The sequence below is a fragment of the Homo sapiens genome, chromosome 7, assembly GCF_000001405.40.
Source record: "Homo sapiens chromosome 7, GRCh38.p14 Primary Assembly".
NCBI lineage: Eukaryota > Metazoa > Chordata > Mammalia > Primates > Hominidae > Homo > Homo sapiens.
Genome location: NC_000007.14, coordinates 110,821,855 through 110,835,876, shown reverse-complemented (window position 1 = coordinate 110,835,876; position 14,022 = coordinate 110,821,855). Strand labels below are relative to the sequence as shown.

Below are 14,022 nucleotides of genomic sequence, written 5' to 3'. Positions count from 1 at the left end.
TTTTCTGCCCTCAAAAAATGTGAGGCATGTGAAGAAAGATTTGTTGAATAAGAAGAACAAGAGAAAACAAACAATGAGAATAACAAACAGAATTATTAAAAGAGTTCTAATCTTCTGTTATTTAACATTTATTGAATACAGTGTCATATATGCAAAGATCATAGCTCTCATTTCTACCAAGTGAATTCACAGAGAAAGAAAAAGAGATTCAGGAAGAGAAAAAAAAAAATGCTACTGAGTTTAACACAACACTACCTTCTGGGAACAAAGGCAAGTATTTTAGTTTGGAGAAATGATTTGAAATTTACAACCAAACACTTTAATTGTCCTGGCTTTGCTACTCCTGGTTGTTTTCTCTGGTTTATAGTTGTCCTTGGTCCTAGGGCTCTCAGGATGTTTGGGGAAAGCAGGTTGATGAGCCAGAGACCTTCTTGGCAGCTTTCCAAGAGTCTTTGATCATCTGAGAGATCTGAGGACAAAAATTTCAGAGTCTATAAAAAGCACTGCCATACCGCATATTAGGTAAGTGGATCAGACCTTTGGCCTCAGATAATAAACACCTTTATTCTTTAACATATAATGATAGTTAGAGTCATACTACCCTCTCTCCCAGCATGTTCTCTCATATTGTTCCCAGAAATAAGCCCCTGGGCAAAATCTCTTTTGATCCTTTTGCAGCAAAGTTTTTATTTTGTTCTTACTATTGTTAGGTGAAGCAAACATTTTTTCCTGCTCTGAGCACTAAAGGTGATTTAGCTACCTGTTTTACATACTTATTCCTGCCTAAGGTGCTCTGGTGGTGAGATTCTAAGGCTAGGTGGCACAGGTGATGAATCTTTCTCTGGGGGAAAAAAATTTTCAGGTGAATGCTTCCATCTGGCACCTGTCCTGGCTGATGGCACTCAGTGTTTACCTGGCATCCATTCTTCTGAGGGTGATTGGTTACATGGCAGGCCTGTGGCCCCTGGCAGGTGGGAAAAAGCACCTATTTCATGAGAACCAAGTTGTGCTTTACTCCACAAAGGCCAGGGTGTTTGAGAAGATCACTACTGCCAACTGTAATCTCTTCTTCCAATTCTTTCAGTTAAATTTGTCTTAATCCCTACAATTCTCTTTGTAGAAAAGTCAGCTCCCAATCTTAGTCTACTTTCATACTTTGCACTGTCACATGCTATAGTTTTCTCTTCTTCAAACTGTTTGCAACTCAAGAGTTAAGTTTTTGATTGTACAGCAAATACTAAACTACAAAAGCTGTGAACTCAAAAATTTAATTCTTTGTTCTAAGATGGTATAATGGTGAGGTATATATGTTTATACTTATATACTTGGAAGGACGGAGCACAAAGCTTTCTTCCTTCCAGGGGTTGTCTCCTATTTCTTCTGGTACCAGTCTCCTTGATGAATTGCTAGAACACTGTTTAGCAACTTTCTTCAGTATTGAGTTGAGCTAATGTGTATATGTTACATATACACTATATATATATATAAAGTTGCATATAACACACACACACACACACTCTTAACTTTGTGTTAATATGACCAGTAAGGCCTGATTTATGTCTAGTGACCATTTCTTACATGACAGGCTGCTGTGCTGGTATGGGAAAGTGATAGTCTAAACTGAATGTGCTCCAGCAGTAACTACAGTGAATTTCTGTGGAAGTCCCAGTTTTAAAACTACATTTAAGATTTATTATTCATAAAGAATATTTGAAGAAGCTTTAAAAATAAATTACAATAAAAAACTAGAGACTTCTAAATAAACTTAGAACAACCAATGAAATTATAAGGAGAAAGACGCTAGAAGCAACTTCAAATGAATTTATTAATATAGATGAGCACTAAACTTAATTCTCAAGTTACTGGCATCTGAAGCAAAAAAGAAAATAACTTAGTTGATCTAGTTCTCATTGTTTACCTGAAGAGAACTTTCATATTCATCTCAGAGGCCTTCATGAATCAGGCTGGTAAGTAAATGAGAGAATTGACTGGGCATAAACCAAAGAGAATGGTACAGCTTGTGTTTGCCCCATTCAAAGGAGTTTGAGCTAAAGCTAAGCAGAAACCAAAATCTTTTTCACTGACTAAATAAAACCAAAGGGCTGAGATGCACTTAGACAGCTGAGTTACCATTGAAATACAGGGGAAATTTATCCTGAATTTGTCATATTAGGCCTTCTGTAACATGAAATGTAATGTTTAATATGCAAGTTATTTTATTTAAAAAAGTCATTGCTTTAAATCGTCTTCTAATATTGAACTTCTGAAAAAGCTGAAAGATTAAATTTATTGTTTTGCCTCAGTGAATGTACTATGAAGTCTCTAAAAATCAGCCATCCCCCCAGATGGTCTAAGAATGCCCCTAGGTGGCAAGACATAATTAAAAATACTCTAATTTTGTGATTAAAGCTCTCTCTCTCTTTTTTTTTTTTTTTTTGAGACGAAGTTTCACTCTTGTCACCCAGGCTGGAGTGAAATGGCACAATCTTGGCTCACTGCGACCTCTGCCTCCCAGGTTCAAGCGATTCTCCTGCCTCAGCTTCTTGAGTAGCTGGGATTACAGGCACCCACCACCACACCCTGCTACTTTTTGTATTTTTAGTGGAGATAGGATTTCACCATGTTGGCCAGGCTAGTGTCAAACTCCTGACCTCAGATAATCTGCCTGCCTCAGCCTCCCAAAGTGCTGGGATTACAGGCATGAGCCACCGTGCCCGACCTCATGATTAAAACTCTTCTAAGAGCTCCACTTTTTCTTGTTCTAGAATGAATATCTCCAGCAATGCAATAAATGTTCTCCCTTGCATTAAATAGGAAGCAAGGCCATAATATGACAATTAATTACATCTTATGTATGAGGTAGAATGTGGCAGAGGGGAGTGAGGCATTACTGATCACCAGTAGAGTTCCCAGAGGAAAACATGTCAGGAGCTGTACTGGAGGGAGCAGGGAAACCTGCCCTAATCCTTTCTCCTACTGGCCTGGTTACCTAAATGCATTCTCAGAATTAGAAAAACTCATCACGACTTCTGTGTCTATTTCTATATGTTTATGTTATTCATATGATCAGAGAAACCTGAATTCTCCCTCTGCATTCTCATACTCCAGTAATTTTTATCTCTGTGATAGCAGAATTCCTATGAAGAATTCTAAGTTTCTTGGTGGTACTTGTGAACAAAAGAAACTTTTTATTATTATCACTATGTGCAAAATGCCTGTCCAGGGTTAAGTGGTGATCCATGTGACTTAAATTCAGTTCTGGGTAGGTACATAGCTCGAGACTTGGGCTTCACAACGTTCTGAGTTCACCAATGGTCACCAGGCCAAGTAAAGCTACAGAAAAGCTAGGAAGCACGCCACCAGCAGGCCCCTTTTAGATTGTGAAAAATAGGGAAGGCAGGCTTGTCAGCTGAAGAGAGTGGTCTATGACTACTGGCTAGAAGAGAAGGAATGTGTCACATACTGGGACGTCCTGAACTTTAGCATGGCTTACTTTGCTAAGATGTTATTTAGCAAAACCCATGAATATACCAGGATAACGACAGTACAGTGCAAAACCTGGCTAAAATCAGAATGACAGAGTAGGGTTTTTTTGTTTGTTTTTTCTTTGTTTGTTTTGAGAGGAGTCTTGCTCTGTCCCCAGGCTGGAGTGCAGTGGTGCAATCTCGGCTCACTGCAACCTCCACCTCCCAGTTCAAATGATTCCCCTGCCTCAGCCTCCTGAGTAGCTGGGACTACAGGCACACGCCACCACACCCAGCTAATTTTTTGTATTTTAGTAGAGACGAGGTTTCACCACGTTGGCCAGGGTAGTCTTGATCTCCTGACCTCGTGATCCGCACACCTCAACCTCCCAAAGTGTGGGGATTACAGGCGTGAGCCACCGCGCCCAGCCCTACAGAGTGGTTTTAAAGTCAAATCAGTTCGGAAGCAGTTTTAAAAAAAACCCTGCTGGGACCTTTAGCTTCAATTAGGGACTTTCACCGAAGCCTCTAACAAGTCTGAGAGCACTGTTTGTTTTAAAGCACTAAACACTTTAGACTTCACCTGGAAAGAATACCTGGGTACCTCTGAATAAATCAGTGACCCCAAATGTCTAGAGAACAAATGAAGATTCTGCAGATTCTTTCCCTCTAGTATTTTCGTCAGGCCAGAGCATTCTTCTTTTAGTGCATGGTTATTTTTATACTTGCTATTGCAACCCTTTATTGAAATATTTGTAACCTCTCATAACAGCCTCTTTTGATAAGTTTCCATTTCGGTTTTCATTTTGCAAATGAGATCTTATTTACCAAGTTGGCTGCTTGTGTCTTTTGGCTAAATATGCAGCATATTTTAGGGGCTATAACAAGATACGTTTGAAAGGCCAATAATTTGTTATTACCATATGGTAGAAAGAATAAAGAAGTTTTCTCAAGATTCCCATTCCCAAATTGTGTAATCAAACACTCACCCAGATACTTATGTGAAGGGACTTTGGAGACAGAATTAAGTTTAATAATTCTGACCTTAAATTAGATAAGGAACCTGAATGTTTCTAGGGGAGGGGGCAATATTTAATGTAATCACACAAACCCTTAAAAGCAAAGCAGGAAAACAGAAAAGTTAGAGAGAAGCTGTTGAAGATGGAGGCAGAAGAAAGATGAGGTAGAAGGGAAGGTAGAGAGATTTGAAACATGAGGATTCAACCCACTGTTGCCAACTTTAAGGGTCGAGGAATGCAAGTGGCCTCTAGAAACTGAGAACGACCCCAGTCCACAGGCAGCAAGGAAGCCAGACCTCACTCCTTCAGCTACGTGGAGCTAAATTTGTCCAGCAATCCAAATGAGCTTGGAAGTGAACTCTCCCCCAGGGCCAGGCCAGCAGACACTTTAATTTCGGCCTTGGGAAACCCAGAGCAGCCAGTTCTGACTTCTGACCTACTGAACTGTGAGGTAATAGACTTGAGTTGTTCTAAGCCTGTGTTTGCTCTAAGCTGCTATACGTCTGTGGTGATTGTACATATACTGTAATGGTAGCAATAGAAAACTGGTAAGGCTCAAAATGCCTTGGAGTATCTGAGTGTCCAGGTTTACTTGATTTCAACAACAGCTGGTGGGGAAAAGAGAGCAAGGGAGGAAGAGAGAGAAAATAAAAAGAAAAAGAGGAGAGGAGGTATCTGACATTATAAACAGTAGGGACAATTTGGTCTCCATTCCATACTATGACTCTCAAGTGGCTTCTTGCACACCTCATGGTATTAGCCTCTCACATCACTGAGTGCATTTTTAAAATTGAAATATTTTGATGTTTTTTTTGTTTGCAGTACAAGATGGCCTTCTTTATTATAAACTGTGTCCTACTGAGAACATTATATTTATGAATAGTTACAGTACAGGGTTGTGTATGTAAAACTGTGTCCACTTTACTTTAAGGAAACTGTAAGAGATCTTCAAGGGTATTTTGATTTCAGGTCATTTTTGTCTTATAGACTGTTTTTTTTTAGAAACAAACCCCCATGTGAAGTCCAACACGTTTGTCCTAAATGCTGTCCCTCCTAGCCACAGCCTTTGGAGAACCTGAGCTTCTAGAAGGAAGCGGTCCACAGGAAAGTGAAGGAGCCTCACTATTGCTAAAAAGGCATAAGGCCCATGTATATGCTGTCAGCCCATCAATTCCCTCAACTTCTCTACACAAGATTAGAATGTCCCTTTTTCCTTTCTAAGCACACTACAAATCATTCCTTTTTTAACCTCTTTTCTCATGCACGGTAACCTGGGATGTTAGTGATAAATAATCTGATTTAACCTAAGAAAATTTGGAGAGTTGGGGAAGGGAATGACACTAAGCACATATGTGACTTGCCCCAGCCCTGTTCCCTCATTGGTATCCTCAATGCCCAGGAAAAAAAGCGCTGATTGAGATTAATTTATCAATGCATAATATCCTTTCTCTTTGGATACCTAGCTTCAATATTGCTTCTCTCTCAAATCTCTTTGTAATTTTCTATGCAGGAAACTTGGGAGGCCTCCCACAGATTGGCTCATTTTAACAAAAACACATTTCTTCTGCCCTCTACAACCTCCAGGAGCCTTCAAAGATGAAGTTAATTATACATATTTTAAAAAGAGACCAAATGCAGAGTCTTGAGGATTTCAAGTTCTAAAACTAGATTTATTATGTTCAAAGTTGTGTCTGGATAAAAGGAAAGTATAACATTAAAATATGAATCTATTCATGCCATTTAGTACTTTGAATTATTCACAGATGCTTGGGGTTTTTCTCTCTTTTTTTGTTTTTTTGTTTTTCTAAGAATAAGGCATTTATCTGAAACCAATGAAATGGAAAGGAATATTTTTTCGTTTTTAGAATTCTTCCCATTTGGGGTTGTTTTATTATAGAACACCACCCCTCAGACATTTTATGAGCTATATTCATAACACATTTACATGTGATTGAAGCACTTAACAGAAAAATTAGGTAAATTGAGCACTAACAGCTAAAGCAAAATGCTAGGCAACTATTTCCAAATGTAAAGTGCTTTGAAGCTGTTAAGCTGTTATATCCCACTCCCCCAAGCTCTCCTTCCTCTGAGAATTATAAAGGAGATGATGTTCTATAAAATATTTGGTGATGTCTGTTTTAGTCTTCCATCTACATTTTCTAACCTGATTGGGGAGTTTAGCTTTAGCACCTCCCCATTTTATGTTGTTTATTCAGTAATCTTCTAGGTACAGAATAAACTTTTTGAATTTCTGCTCTCCTATTTGTAAAAAGACAATAATAATACCATCTTTGCCAATCTCATAGGATCAGGAAGCTTGAACAATGTGATATACAAGGATATAAACTTTAAATAGCCATACATATATGAAGTATTGGAAATGATGTTACTTCTAACATTGTTATTAGCAATAACTTTACAGACTCAAGATGCTACGAAGACTTAGAAGGCACAGAACTTATACTCATTATAGTTGAGGATTCAGAAATATCATTTAGGCCTGGAATATTTTATTTATGTTCTAATATTTGTTTGGTTACAAGCATTTTGAAAGATAGTATTATGCTCACTAAATTTTTGCTCTCCACTCTTGCCCAGGTTTTTCAACCATATCTCATTTACCAAAATCTTCAGAATCTTTTAGATCCCTGGTTGTTTTCCTGTGGAGAGTCTTGTTAGTGTTTTACTCATAATTGAACTTTACATGTGATATATCTTGTGTAGAGTAGACTAGGCTTGCCCCATCTTCATTTGACATATACATTTCTTTTAGTATCACCTAAGGTCACATTTATTTTTTGCCAGTCTCTCATATAGTGTATTCCATGCTGGAATGAATTAGGAGTATCAGGGGAGGAGACATACTCTGCAGTGATTCTTTGGAATTTAAGGAGGGCCATTATTGATCATATAATCCAAAGATCCTTGATTTGACATAAGAAACAGAGTGCCAGAATGATCAAGCAGTTTGCTTAAGATCACACAGTTGGTTGTTAGCAAGGGTAGAATTAAAATTCTGATGATTCCAGACCTAACGCTCTTACTACTGTGCAGGGGAAGGAGGGAGAACACAAGAAGAAAGATGGCTTAGTGCAGGAGTCAGCAAACTATGGCCCGTGGGCCGTATCTGGGCCTATTTTTGTAAATAAAGTTTTTTTTGGAACACAGCATGCCCATTCATTAACATATTATATATGGCTGTTTTCACACTACAAGGGCAGAGCAGAATAGTTTTCTGAGACCATCTGGCCTACAAAGCCTAAAATGTTTAGTCTGGTCATTTACATAAAAAATTTGCTGACCTCTGGCTTAGAGGAGAGATGACTAAAAAATCTGGATAGGAGCACTTTGAGAACAGTCTTTTTAGTTTGCACACTTGTTTCTAGTTCTTATTTAGAAGAAACTGCATGGCTGTTAGGTGAACTTGTCTAACTCTCTCATGATTAACTGCTGATTTATTTAATAAATTTGCATATATCCTTGCAGAAGGATCAGTACATATTTTCCAGAGGTGTTTCTTATGTGATTTGTTTTCTATGTTCATCTTCATAATATATTCTTGATGATATTAGTATGTCTTTATTCAAAGTACTGGAAACTTACATGGGATACACAATAGCTGTATTCAAGTATGTGAAGGACTCTTTTCCTGTGAATAAAGGGATTAGATGTATTTATCCTTCAAGTCCAATTAAAATGTGCTTTTGTTGTCAAGCCCCTGATTCCAGCTACTCCCTTCTTTGGGCAGAATTAATCACCCTCTCTTCTGTGCTTCCAAAATTCTTTGTACAAAGTACTGTTACAGTATTTGTCACACAACGCTATAGGTCTTGTTTGCACATTTGTCTCCCCAGTTGATTGTGAAATCCTTGAAAGTGAGGACAATATCTTATTCATTTTGGCATCCTCATCATGGGGCTCAGGCCCTGGCTCATAGAAGCAACCTAATGCTTGATGAGTGAAGGTATATTATAATCCCAGAGGGCAAAGCAAGGACCATTGTGAAATCTCACTAAAAAGAACTCTGTGGTAGTGCTGGCAACCAATTGAAAAGTCTCCTAAGCAGTGTGCTTGGACATCAAGGACAAGAACTTGGGGTTAGAATGCCTAGGTTTGCATTTTGACTGTCCTGTTTAATAACGGTCTTTGGGTGGGTTGCTTATCTCTGAACCTCAATTTCCTCAGCTTTGAAATGGAGAGGATATAGGGAAGCAGTTTTCTAAGTGGAGTCTATAAACCCCTGGGTATTTCCAAAACAATCTCAAGGGGTATTTGAGGTCAAAACTATTTTTATTAGAATGCTAAGAAATTTGTCATTTTTACTCTGTCAATACTGGCATTGATGGTACAAAAGCAATGGTGGGACAACTCCTGGTGTCTTTGTACAAATCAAAGCAGTAGCACCAAGTTGAACTAATAGTCATTGTTTTCATCCCCATCATATACTGTCATGAGAAAAAATACATACCAGTTTCACTTAAGAATGCCTTTGATGAAGGAGTAAAATTATTAACTTTTTTTTTTTAGTCTCTGGAATGTATTTTTATTTATTTTTTTAATATACTTTAAGTTCTAGGGTACATGTGCACAATGTGCAGGTTTGTTACATATGTATACATGTGCCATGTTGGTGTGCTGCACACATTAAGTCGTCATTTACATTAGGTATATCTCCTAATGCTATCCCTCCCCACTCCCCCAACCCCATGACAGGCCCCAGTGTGTGATGTTCCCCTTCCTGTGTTGAAGTGTTCTCATTGTTCAGTTCCCACCTATGAGTGAGAACCTGCGGTGTTTGGTTTTCTGTCCTTGCGATAGTTTGCTGAGAATGATGGTTTCCAGCTTCATCCATCTCCCTACAAAGGACATGAACTCATCCTTTTTTATGGCTGCATAGTATTCCATGGTGTATATGTGCCACATTTTCTTAATCCAGTCTATCATTGATGGACATTTGGGTTGGTTCCAAGTCTTTGCTATTGTGAATAGTGCCACAACAAACATATGTGTGCATGTGTCTTTATAGCAGCATGATTTATACACCTTTGGGTATATACCCGGTAATGGGATAGCTGGGTCAAATGGTATTTCTAGTTCTAGATCCCCGAGGAATCGCCACACTGACTTCCACAATGGTTGAACTAGTTTACAGTCCCACCAACAGTGTAAAAGTGTTCCTGTTTCTCCACATCCTCTCCAGCAGCTGTTGTTTCCTGACTTTTTAATGATCACCATTCTAACTGGTGTGAGATGGTATCTCATTGTGGCTTTGATTTGCATTTCTCTGATGGCCAGTGATGATGAGCATTTTTTCATGTGTCTGTTGGCGCATAAATGTCTTCTTTTGAGAAGTGTGTGTTCATATCCTTCGCCCACTTTTTGATGGGGTTGTTTGTTTTTTTCTTGTAAATTTGTTTGAGTACTTTCTAGATTCTGGATATAAGCCCTTTGTCAGATGACCAGATTGCGAAAATTTTCTCCCATTCTGTAGGTTGCCTGTTCACTCTGATGGTGGTTTCTTTTGCTGTGCAGAAGCTCTTTAGTTTAATTAGATCCCATTCGTCAATTTTGGCTTTTGTTGCCATTGCTTTTGGTGTTTTAGACATGAAGTCGTTGCCCATGCCTATGTCCTGAATGGTATTGCCTAGATTTTCTTCTAGGGTTTTTATGGTTTTAGGTCTAACATTTAAGTCTTTAATCCATCTTGAATTAATTTTTGTATAAGGTGTAAGGAAGGGATCCAGTTTCAGCTTTCTACATATGACTAGCCAGTTTTCCTAGCACCATTTATTAAATAGGGAATCCTTTCCCCATTTCTTGTTTTTGTCAGGTTTGTCAAAGATCAGATGGTTGTAGATGTGTGGTATTATTTCTGAGGGCTCTGTTCTATTCCACTGATCTATATCTCTGTTTTGGTACCAGTACCATGCTGTTTTGGTTACTGTAGCCTCGTAGTATAGTTTGAAGTCAGGTAGCATGATGCCTCCAGCTCTGTTGTTTTGGCTTAGGATTGACTTGGCAATGCGGGCTCTTTTTTGGTTCCATATGAACTTTAAAGTAGTTTTTTCCAATTCTGTGAAGAAAGTCATTGGTAGCTTGATGGGGATGGCATGGAATCTATAAATTACCTTGGGCAGTATGGCCATTTTCACGATATTGATTCTTCCTATCCATGAGCGTGGAATGTTCTTCCATTTGTTTGAGTCCTCTTTTATTTCGCTAAGCAGTGGTTTTTAGTTCTCCTTGAGGAGGTCCTTCACATCCCTTGTAAGTTGGATTCCTAGGTATTTTATTCTCTTTGAAGCAATTGTGAATGAGAGTTCACTCATGATTCGGCTATTTGTTTGTTACTGGTGTATAAGAGTGCTTGTGATTTTTGCACATTGATTTTGTATCCTGAGACTTTGCTGAAGTTGCTTATCAGCTTAAGGAGATTTTGGGCTGAGATGATGGCGTTTTCTAGATATACAATCATGTCATCTGCAAACAGGGACAATTTGACTTCCTCTTTTATTAAATGTCAATCTTTGAGTATAATATCCTTTTTAATATTTGGTGTGATAAAATGGGAAGTATATATAAATCACTTTTACATTTTGGAAGTACAAGGGCTGTCTTGAGAAAAGTACTGTGGTATTGAATTGCCAGCTGAACAAGCCACTTGAAACTAGACATGATGTTTCAAAAGCATGCACATAGGTAAAGATCCATTGAAAGTGCAATACAGGCTGGGAGCGGTGGTTCATCCCTGTAATATCAGCACTTTCAGAGGTCGGGGATGGAGTATCTCTTGAGTCCAGGAGTTTGAGCCCAGCCTGGGCAACATAGGGAGAACCCATCTTTACCAAAATTAAAAAATAATAAGCCAGGCGTGGTGGTGTGTGCCTGTGGTCCAGCTAGTCAGGAGGCTGACATGGGAGGATCTCTTGAGCCTGGGGAATTCATATATATTTTGCAAACATTAAAAATAGTTACTTATCTAGAACTATACAAAGAGTTCTAATATACGTTAAGTATTAAAATAGCTGCAGAAAATTATTTTTAGTCTATCCTATTTGTGTAAATAATTAGCAGTTTTCTGTGAATAGAGACAAATGCCTAGAAACTGGAGTTACATGGGAGAAAATGATTAGGGGCTAAAGAAGGGTGAAAGGAGACATTCAGATCTCATTTCATACCCTTTCATATTTTGTTATTTACGTATCCATTTTTTGTCTTGTTTAAAAAATTAATGTAGGTGATAATACCCATAATTATAATGTAAACTAGTTGAGCAGCGTTAAATCTCCTGGCCTATAGAGAATGTTTATAATGTAAGTATTGCATTATGTATGTAATTATTACATATGCAGTGACACTGTTGGTTGTCCAAGTGAATGACCACTTCATGTGTTAGTGTGATCCCATCAGTAGAGTGTTCTCCAAGCAATTACTGAATGATAAAGAAATATCATAGATCAGACTTCTGCCTCTGAGTATATTCAACTGATCTCTCAGTTTAAATTCCGATGTTCTTTGATACTGTTATTAATTAATGAATAGCCATAATGTTTTGAGAGTAGTTCTTTACCAAAGGTCCTCCATCAAAATCTTATCTCTGAGCAACTTTAAAATCTTCAGAATTTTTTTCATCTGTTAGTTTTGATAGCATTCACTTTTCACCTTTAATTTTGCTCTCAAAGTATGTTGGGGCTACTAGGACAAATAAGTAAATATTCACTGAGTCTTTACTGCATCACAGTAGGAAGAACTCTGATCTTTTATAAGGTTAGGAAAAGAACTTAGTACCTTAATTTCACCATTGCCAGTTCCACAAACTGAAATTTATTTAGCAGAATGTCCCTATTCTTAGGATAAGCTTGTCTTTAGGATAAACTTTTCCTGTCAGATAAATGATGGAATTTGCCATCTTTAAATAAAGAATACTCCATATATTATTATATAATTTTTAAAAATTACTTAGTGATTACCACAACTGCTTTTTGGGTTGAGTAATATAATCTCTTTGAGTCAAGAGTCAAGTAATGTAATCACATCAACATATACAGACAAACTTGTGTCTACTGTATATGCAACTATATTTTTATAATATAGGAGTTAGGTTTTTGTGTGAAAATAGGTGTACCTTTCTGGAAGAACAGAAATAATTTACTCCTGGCATCTTATTGAAAGAAAAAAGTCAATTCAATTTGAATAATGTTGGGAGATAAAGCATGCCAGTATTATTCTTTATTTCTTTTATTAATGAGTTAGGATACAAAAAAGTCAATAAAAATTACATTAAAAACTCATAAACATTGTTCAAATCTTATTTCTCCATCAGTCATGTTCATAAAACTGGCATTTCCATTTAAATGGCAGTTAATAACAATAGGATTTTATTTAGTGAGCCAAACAACACACGGCCTCATTTATTTACTCATCAGACACTTGAGTGCCTTCTCTATGCCAGATCCCGTGCCAGGTACTGGGGCCCCAGCCTTGAATAAGACATAGAATAAGACATACTTCTTACATTCTGTGAATTTAGTGGCCAATGGAGCAGAAAGACATGTAAGCAAATAATTAAAGAAGTAACATTTTGAAATAGGAAGGGCATAAGATTTGGGGAGTAAACATATTTTAAACTTGGGCTTCCTCACTTCTGAATTATAGACTTCTAACCTTTCTAAGTTTCAGGGATAATAATTTCAGTGTGTGTCTTTTTTAAGGATTAGAGAAAACATTAAAAGTACAGAGCCTGGAACTAAATCTATTCAAATGAGATTTATTTATTACCCTTAAACTATAATATGAAAGGTACTATATTCAGGAATGTACAAGAAAGAATGGATAATTGGCTTGGGGATGGAGACAGGTAAGGAAAAATTTCTTAGTGGACAAGTGTTTAGGATAAGGAGGTGTTTACAGCAAACAGGAATTCCAGGCAGAGAAATTTTCATTCACAGAGGCATGAATGGAACTTATGCTAAAGTATGAGGAACTACAAGTCATTTGGTAAGACTGTAGTCTCAGAAGAAATGAAAGATGGTGAATTAATGGTTGTCAATCACAGAGGATCTTTTATGTCCTGCAAATGATTCAAGACATTAAGCAGCACAATGGGGATGAAGATAGAGTTGAGCTATATTTTGAAGGTAGAATTTATAGAATGAGTTGACAATGTAAGATTGAAGGAAAGAAAGGAAGAGTTTTCCAGATTTCTGATTCAGGTAAGTAATTGTTGATGTCATTGATCAGAAGAAAGAATTTAGGAGAAAACTTAGGTTTAGGGGCAAAATGATGAATTTCATTTGGGTATATTAAATCTTACTTGTCAGGATCTCAGGCAGGAGACACACCTGGGTTGGAGAAAAGATTGGAGAGTGCTAAACATTCAGTTGACTGACTAGAAGTTAGAAATCCCAAGTTTCTGACTATGTTGTTATGTTCTTCACTGGCTTTATGACTAGTGAATTTTACCTTTTTTTTGAGACAAGAGTCTTGCTCTGTCACCAGGCTGGAGTGCAGTGACGTGATCTTGGTTCACTGCAACCTCC

General features: G+C 37.6%; 1 protein-coding gene across 18 annotated transcripts in view; it reads left to right on the top strand.

Moving 5' to 3' along the window:
• Positions 1-14,022, top strand: part of IMMP2L (inner mitochondrial membrane peptidase subunit 2) — an 899,849-nt gene that overhangs the window by 726,616 nt on the left and 159,211 nt on the right. For 6 of the 18 annotated variants that reach the window (XM_017012701.2, XM_017012700.2, XM_017012702.2 and 3 more), the window contains one exon: positions 142-14,022. This exon is cut by the window's right edge and continues 42,686 nt beyond it. The exons of the other annotated variants lie outside the window; for them this stretch is intronic. In XM_017012701.2, coding sequence (XP_016868190.1) covers positions 142-456 — 315 coding nt within the window. In that variant the 3' untranslated portion in view covers positions 457-14,022. The remainder of the gene's footprint in view (positions 1-141) is intronic. 18 annotated transcript variants of the gene reach the window in all.